The sequence below is a fragment of the Homo sapiens genome, chromosome 2 (assembly GCF_000001405.40).
Source record: "Homo sapiens chromosome 2, GRCh38.p14 Primary Assembly".
Classification (NCBI taxonomy): domain Eukaryota; kingdom Metazoa; phylum Chordata; class Mammalia; order Primates; family Hominidae; genus Homo; species Homo sapiens.
The window spans coordinates 27,245,087-27,253,501 of NC_000002.12; the positions used below are offsets into that span (position 1 = coordinate 27,245,087).

At 51.0% G+C, this 8,415-nt stretch overlaps 3 annotated features.

The window, feature by feature from the left end:
* Window positions 4,372-5,166: an enhancer, noted in NCBI's record as "H3K4me1 hESC enhancer chr2:27472326-27473120 (GRCh37/hg19 assembly coordinates)". NCBI's record gives its function as "activates a minimal SCP1, AML or CMV promoter by ChIP-STARR-seq in naive H9 embryonic stem cells {active_cell/tissue: H9 hESC(naive)}" and the evidence as "EXISTENCE:reporter gene assay evidence [ECO:0000049][PMID:30033119]".
* Window positions 4,796-4,976: a silencer, noted in NCBI's record as "fragment chr2:27472750-27472930 (GRCh37/hg19 assembly coordinates)". NCBI's record gives its function as "represses an EF-1alpha promoter that drives an FKBP-Casp9 reporter gene in an ReSE screen in K562 erythroleukemia cells {active_cell/tissue: K562}" and the evidence as "EXISTENCE:reporter gene assay evidence [ECO:0000049][PMID:32094911]".
* Window positions 5,167-5,960: an enhancer, noted in NCBI's record as "H3K4me1 hESC enhancer chr2:27473121-27473914 (GRCh37/hg19 assembly coordinates)". NCBI's record gives its function as "activates a minimal SCP1, AML or CMV promoter by ChIP-STARR-seq in naive H9 embryonic stem cells {active_cell/tissue: H9 hESC(naive)}" and the evidence as "EXISTENCE:reporter gene assay evidence [ECO:0000049][PMID:30033119]".

The following is an 8,415-nucleotide window of genomic DNA, read 5'->3' on the forward strand; positions in this document are numbered from 1 at the left end:
AAAAGGTGGTAGCTTGCTGGGCCACTCACCTTGAGACTCATACGCAGGACTTCTTGACTTAACAACCCACCTTTCTGTTAAAAGGAAAGGTCATTTCTGGCTTTAAGGGCATCCAAAAACCAGTGGGAAAGACAAGCCACAAATCTAAGCAGTCCTGTAGGGAACCAGTTTCCAGAAGAGGTCAGCACAGATACGGAGTCGGAGAACCCTGTGCCGTGGGGTGTGAGCTGTGTCGTGAGGAAGGACGAAGAGTCTCCTTTACAGTACAGTTCGAGAGGAATGGAAATTGTGTCTGCGGTACAGTGAGGAGACACTGAACGCAGCAGGAGATTCCTACTGAGTATTGTGAGGGTTGAGAGTCTGACGGACCAGAACAGGGGGCTTGGATGTCAATTCCAACAAAAATATTAATTTACAACCACAGGTACTATTTGAAGGAGGGTATTAAGTATAATGCTAAGTCCTAGAGTGTGGAGGCCTCCAGTCCTGCTAATGTTAACCCTTTCCAGTCTTTCCAAACCCAGATTCCTGCCTGACAAGGTCTCCCTCAGGTACCTGGAGGACTTTATTGGTTGGAAAATAGAGTACCATTTCCAGAACTCTTCTTTTTCTTTCTAGAGACTCCATTTCCTTGCTTAAACTCTTAGAACAAGTCAGAGATTATTTTCCCAATTGTACTCATGAGTACTTGGGACTCGCACACAGATTCCCACAGAACTTGGATAGCCTCACCCTCAAGTAGAAGCAGTGTTTTCTGCCAAGTAGCGGACGCATTTTACTTAGTTGCTAAGTGGTGGGAGATGTTCCTGTCCTGAGCCTTTCTTTGGCTCTCCTAATCATAGCTCAGCTCTGAGTTGAATAAAGTTTTTTCCCGTATGACCAGAAAGTAAATCTCATTATATTGGGAAACAAAATGAAAAAACTTACCAGCAAAAACCAAAATTAGCCCTTTATTTTTTAAAATTTTTATCGTTTTGAGATGGCATCTCGCTCTGTTGCCCAGGCTGGAGTGCAGTGGTGCAATCTTGGCTCACTGCAACCTCCGCCTCCCAGGTTCAAGTGATTCTCCTGCCTCAGTCTCCCGAGTAACTGGGACTACAGACATGTGCTACCACACCCAGCTAACTTTTTGTATTTTTAGTAGAGATGGGGTTTTGCCATGTTGGCTAGGCTGGTGTTGAACTCCTGACTTCAAGTGATCTGCCCGCCTCAGCCTCCCAAAGTGCTAGGATTACAGGCATGAGCCACCGCACCCAGCCAAAATTAGCCCTTTAATACAATACCTTTGGGCCTGTTCCACATCCACTGAGAAACAACTTCATATCTGCCATGTAATTGTCATGAAGCATAAAAAGTTAGTTTGCTTCCTGAGGTACTTAAGAGGTTTGATCTATTTCTTCTATAAGAAACATTTATATGCCAAGCACTGTTCTAAGCGCTTTACAGATACATCCCTTTGACACTTGGATGAATCCTTTGACTATCCCCCACCTTGAAAGAAGTGTGGCTAACGTTGGGTTGCTATTACAGCCATTTTCTCCCACCTCTTCACTGTCCACCCTAGTGAAGGAGACATCCCCCTCAACATAGGTAGTCCACCGGGAGCTTTGTCAGCTGCACTCTAGTCCTGGCCCTTACAACTAACTACCTGCAACCATGGCAAGTCAGTATGCCTGTGGGCTTTTATTTTTTATACTAAAATTTTGTTTTTGAGACAGGGTCTCATTCTGTCACCCAGGCTGGAGTGCAGTGGCACGATCTCAGCTCACTGCAGCCTTGACCTCATGGGCTCAAGTGATCCTCCCACTTAAGCCTCCCAAGGAGGTGGGACCACCATGGCCATACCACCATGCCCGGCTAATTTTTTGTGTTTTTTTTGTAGAGATGGGGTTTTGCCATGTCGTCCAGGCTGGTCTCAAACTCCTGGAGTCAAGTTATCCTCCCCACTCAGCCTCCAGAATAGCTGGGACCACAGGCACATGCCACCACACCTGGCTAATTTTTGTTCTTGTTTTGTTTTATAGAGATGGGGATTCGCCATGTTGCCCAGGCTGGCCTATTACTTTTTTTTTTTTTTTTTTTTTTTTTGAGACGGAGTCTTGCTCTGTTGCCCAGGCTGGAGTGCAGTGGCGCGATCTTGGCTCACCGCAAGCTCCGCCTCCCGGGTTCACGCCATTCTCCTGCCTCAGCCTCTCCGAGTAGCTGGGACTACAGGCACCTGCCACCACGCCCGGCTAATTTTTTGTATTTTTAGTAGAGATGGGGTTTCACCGTGGTCTCGATCTCCTGACCTCGTGATCCGCCCGCCTCAGCCTCCCAAAGTGCTGGGATTACAAGCATGAGCCACCGCGCCCGGCCAGGCTGGTCTATTCCTGGGCTCAAGTGATCCTCCTGCATCAGCCTCCTAAAGTGCTGGGATTACAGCCATGAGCCACCATGCCCAACCCACCTATAGGCTTTAAAAGGGTAGTTGGCAATTCCCAGTGTAAAATTGCAAAGTGTCTGTAGTTCTGCAGTAATATCCCCTGGGACAATGAGGGGGCATTGGCTGGTGGAGGTGAGGAGCAGAGAATGAGGGCCAGGATGGGATGAGTGCTTAATGGAAGACTCGTCTGGCAACAGTGCCTAGAAGAGAGAAAGGAGCCATTTCACCATCAGGACGCCAATTAGGAAGTTGTTGCAGTAAATACAGATCATGGGTGAAGAGGTTCTAGATTCAGAGATAGGAATAGATGTTATAACACTGAGGAGAGAGGAGAGTGAAGAATGACTGCACAGTGTGGGACCTCAAGACTGGAAGAAAGAAGACTGATGAAGGTAGACCAGATAGCCAGTTTGGGGTAGGGGAGGGCTGATTCCATTTGGGCATGATACCTAGCTGCCGTGGGCCATCTATATGGAGATGTCATGGAGGTAATGGAGCTGGGGAGTTGGAGCAAGCACAATAGAGACAGGTGGCATTTATATGTGACAACACAAGTGCCATGAGAGCAGGGACTTTACTCACTGATGTATCCCAAACACCAGAACAGGGTTGAGCACATAGTAGGTGCTCAGTAAATGTGTTGACCGAAGCATCAACATAAAGGTAATTGAAGCTTTTAAAATATGCATATTTGTTCACCAAGAGAATAGCGGCAAGCCTCAATTTCAGCAAGGGCCGCAGGAGAACTCAGGAGAAAGCCCTCAAGAGGCCCAGAATTCCAAGTGTGTGAGGGACGGGAGACGTATTGGCAGATTCAAATCCTGTAGCAGGCCAAAGAGAAGGAAATTTGAGGCAAGGACCTTGTCACAATAGTTGTTAGGCTGATGCTTTGTGGTGGTAACCAGGTTTCACGAGGTTACTGAGGGACTGGTTTAGAAGCTGAGGTCATTTACCAAGTGGCAAGGAAAAAAATGGGTGTTGAGATTGGGAGCTCAAAGGCTTTAGAGAAGGTCAGGGAAGCTGTGATGAATCCGCAGGAGATTAATAGAGTCACAAGCAGGACTCAAGGGGAAGCTAAACACTGAATTTGTGGTGGGGCTGGGGGAAGCCATGTCCAGGGCAGGGGCGTAGAAGGGCTTGCACTCCCTGGAGGACCCAAGAAATAGAAATGAGCTGGCCGGGCGCGGTGGCTCACGCCTGTAATCCCAGCACTTTGGGAGGCCGAGACGGGCGGATCACGAGGTCAGGAGATCGAGACCATCCTGGCTAACACAGTGAAACCCCATCTCTACTAAAAATGCAAAAAAAATTAGCCGGGTGTGGTGGCAGGCACCTGTAGTCCCAGCTACTCGGGAGGCTGAGGCAGGAGAATGGTGTGAATCCGGGAGGCGGAGCTTGCAGTGAGCCAAGATCACGCCACTGCACGCCAGCCTGGGCGACAGAGCGAGACTCCATCTCAAAAAAAAAAAAAAAAGAAAAGAAATAGAAGTGACTGCCTGCTTGAGAGCACCTGAATTGCTACCATCAAATGCTACCATCAGATACAGATTTATACCTCGGGAATCAGCATGTATGAAACCTGCTTGTTGGCCCATTGGTAGGAGCTGGGGATTAGAAGATATTTTATGGACTTTGCATTGGCCTGACATTTATCTGTTCACCATCCTTCCACCCATTCCTTCCATCACCAGCAGTCATACTGAGCATGTACTTGGTGTCTGGCTGTGAGCTAAGTGCTGGGGGAGCATGCCTTCCTTCAAGGAGTGTGCCGTCAGTAGGCCACTCACCGTTTTACTGTGTCTCCCAGCAGTCCTGTGTGACCACGTCCTGGTCCAGCAGGATGGGGGAAAGCAGGGAGGCCATGCTTGGGCAGACTCCGTGGTCAGGAAAAAGCAAGTTTGTTGTTGTAGGGTCTGAACCCTGCTTATTTTGGTAAGCTTTCTTATCTTTTTAATATTCTGGGTTCAGTTCCCTTCTATTTCTCCCCAGGCTTTTGGCTACAGTCCTTTAAAAATTTATAGCCATCGTTGTTGAGCCAAAGCAAACAAAAGAATGGAATCGGAGGTTAAGGCTGTTTGGGTCGTGTCCTCTGAGTGAGCTTCTCCAGGTCTGGGCTTCTTCCTGTCCCCAGGATGCTGTAGCCAGAGAGCAGATGAGGGGGTCTGGGGTACCACACGGGGAATGGCAAGAGCAGAGAAAGGCTAGGACCAGGGCTGAAGGAGGGAGGCACAGGCTCTGGCAACCCGGGCCTTCCTGCCTACCCACTCTCCCCACGTTCTTTCTCTTGCCAGTTAAGGAAACGGGGCCTGCTTTGTGTATGGGATTGCTGGTGATCACAGCTGCATCTGGGGGTGTGGTGGTATACACGTGGAGTCCCAGCTGCTCAGGAAGCCGAGGCAGGAGGATTGCTTGAGCCCAGGAGTTTGAGGCTAGCCTGGGCAGCATAGCAAGACCCCATCTCAAAAAAGGAAAAAGCCCCCACACAGCTGCATCTGGGGCCTCAGGCTTTGCCCTGTTGGGGCCTGGGAACTGCCCCTCCAAGCACCCCTTGGAAGGTACTGACCAGGTACTGACGAGGTGTCCCTGGGACTTAAGCCAGGGACAGGGAGGCCCTGGGAACTGCCAGAGTTGGGGGAAGGGAGGTTGGAGAGTTAAGAAAGAGTACTCCAACTATAAAAGGAACACCCTGACTACAGTTCTCCACAGTGAGGGTCTCTGCCTGGCGGAGGGGAAAAGGGTCTTCCCGTCCTGACCCCAGTCCTGAGACTCCCTGCAAAGACTTCCGGCTGCCTCTGCCGCTGCGGTGGCGTATGCCCCAGTTGGGGGCGCTGCTCCCCAGCCAGCCGGGCTCTAGGAAGCGGGAGGGCCAAATGCCTCCTTTAAGCCGGCTGCACCGGGGCCCTGACCGGGCGGGAGGGCTGCTGGAGGGTGGTGCTTATCACCCGGGCTTCCTCTTGACCCTGCCGGCTGGGCCCTGGGCCTTGGCCTTCGCCTCTTAAACGTGGTGCAGGACTCACCCTGGGCCACCCCCAGGTGGGCAGCCTTGGGAGAAGGGCAGGACCTGCCCATGTGCCCATGCTCCTCCGCCCAGTCACTGCAGCACGAAGCCTCTCAGGTCCGCACCCTGCATTCTGGCCCTTTGATCTCCAGTTTCTCCTTTGAATAGCCCTGCAGCTCTCAGCAGGGAAACCCGGCCTGCCTCTCTCTCCCTCCACTCTCCATTTCACCCCTTTCCTGGCTGTCCCTCTTCTCTGGTTCCTCTCTGACCCGAAAGCCCACCCCTCCCCTAGTTAATCAGCTGTGTAAAGAGCTGGGGCTGGGCTGAGGGATGGGCCCTCCCCCACCTGCGTTGCTCTCCCCTGCCTTCCCCTCACCCCTCCCAGGCCCAGTCCCTTCCCCTCGACTCTCCCTCCTCCATCTATCATCAAGGAAGGGCACCCAGGGGAAAGGGACTTCTGGATAAGCGAGTGGAGAAGGAGGATAGGAGGATAATGGGGGAGTGCAGGCAGCTCTGCAGATAAGGATTTCCTGGGCTCCCGGGGATGGTGGCCCAGTGTGAAGGTGGGAGAATGCTCCAGAGACCTGTCTCCTCATCCTCCCGATGCCCGAAGGTGAGTGGAAAGGCAGGATGGCATAGAGAGAGGGCTGGGGACGTCCAGGGGCCAGAACTCAGAACCGAGTGGAACCAGCTGCACGACCATGGGCAGGTGAGCCTGCTTCTCCATCTGTCAGGTGCACAGGATACTGTCCGCACCACAGTGCCTTGCACAAAATAAGCTCAATGATTGCTGCTTCCTGTCCCTGCTGTCAGGGTGCCGGGCCACTCTCTTCTCCTGAAATCTCTCCCCTGCATCCTGGGTTCAACCCAAAAGCTAACTCTTATATACACCTTCTATATACCAGGCACATTCACACCCATGATATCACGTAATCACTATTTTATAATTGAGAAAGCTGAGACGCAGAGAGGTTAACTGTGACTAGAATAATAGTAAAGGCAGAGCAGAACCAGAGGGTCTGACCCCAGAGCCCCAGGACGGGAGTGCCAGCGGCAGCAGGCTGCTGGAAGGGCTGAGGAAAGATTTGCTGAGAAACTCAACTAGGCAAGAGCTTCAAAGGGGCCTGGAGTGGGAATGAGAGCCTGGGCATGTGCTGGCTGACCCTGGGGAAGTCTTTTTCCCTCCCTGAGTCTCCTCCTTCTATGGGCAGAAGATGGACTGGATGCTTGGTGAAGGCATTCACCTGCCCTGAGCATTCCCCTGCAAAGGGACCCAGCATCGCACAGATAGGACAGGCTGTGGCTTAAAGCATTTCATAGGGTGAAAATCGAGTCCTCCTGTTCCCCACCCTCCTTCCCTCTCCTCGATTTCCTCACTCTTCCCCACCCCCATCCTGTCACCTGGGGCCTATAATCAATGAGACGTAAAATGAGAAAGTATCAGGAACCAGCAAAGCATGGCGAGCAGCTGGGGCGGCCTTGCCGCCGGGCGTGATGGACTGCCAGCCCTTCGCTTCGCCAGCCTCCCACACCCTGACGTGGGCAGTGGCGTCTCACCCAGCCTGGGCTAAGGCTCCCAGCTGGACATCAGGGAGGGGGCTACCTCTGATGAGTCCAAAAGCCTCACCTTTAAAAAGGAATGAAATCTATGGTCTTGACATGGAAAGATGAGTCTAGGCTGCATGGTTGAGTCATAAACACAGGTAACACGATCTCACCTATAAGATGACCCCATTTTTGTTATTATGTAGAAATACTGACCCCATACTAGGATTAGCAGTTTTCTCGGAAAGTAAGATTACAGGGGAAACATTCACTTTCTACTTTATATACTTTTCCTTTGTTGTACCCTTAAAACAAGTATATATTGCTTTTATAGTAAAAATAATCTGATAATAAAGATATTTCTATTATGAGGAAGGCTCACAGAAATATGCATGGGCTATTGAAAATGCTCAACGTCCTTGCTTTGGGCTGGGATTTTATCAACATGGTGGGAAGGCCTGAAGCACTAGATCTAAAATCAAAGCACAGAGTCTAATTTTTTTTTTTTTTTTTAAGACAGAGTCTCCCTCTGTCGCCCAGGCTGGAGTGCAGTGGCGCAATCTCAGCTCACTGCAACCTCTGCCTTCCGGGTTCAAGCGATTCTCCCTGCCTCAACCTCCCGAGTAGCCAGGATTACAGGTGCCCACCACCATGCCCAGCTAATTTTTTTTTTTTTGAGACAGAGTTTCACTCTTGTTGCCCAGGCTGGAGTGCACTGATGCAATCTCGGCTCACCGCAACCTCTGCCTCCTGGGTTCAAGCAATTCTTCCGCCTCAGCCTCCTGAGTAGCTGGGATTACAGGCATGCGCCACCACACTGGCTAATTCTTGTATTTTTAGTAGAGACGGGGTTTCTCCATGTTGGTCAGGCTGGTCTCGAACTCCTGACCTCAGGTGATCCACCCACCTCGGCCTCCTGAAGTGCTGGGATTACAGGCATGAACCACTGTGCCCGGCCAAATTTTTGTATTTTTTAGTAGAGACAGGGTTTGACCATGTTTGAGACACAGTCTCACTGTGTTGCCCAGACTGGAGTGCAGTGGCACAATCATGGCTCACTGCAGCCTCGACAACCTGGGCTCAAGTGATTCTCCCCACTTAGCCTCTCAAGTAACTGGGACTACAGGTACACACTACCATGCCCAGCTAATTTTTGTATTTCTTGTACAGACAGGGTTTCACCATGTTGCCCAGGCTGATCTTGAACTCCTGGGGTCAAGTGATCTGCCTGCCTCAGCCTCCCAAAGTGCTGGAATTACAGGCGTGAGCCATCTTGCCTAGCTGATTTTTCTTTTTTTTTCTTTTTTTTTTTTTTTGATGGAGTCTTGCTCTGTCGCTCAGGCTGGAGTGCAGTTGCATGATCATAGTTCATTGCAGCCTCAACCTCCTGGGCTCAAGTGATCCTCCCACCTCAGCCTCCTGAGTAGCTGGAACCACAGACATACAC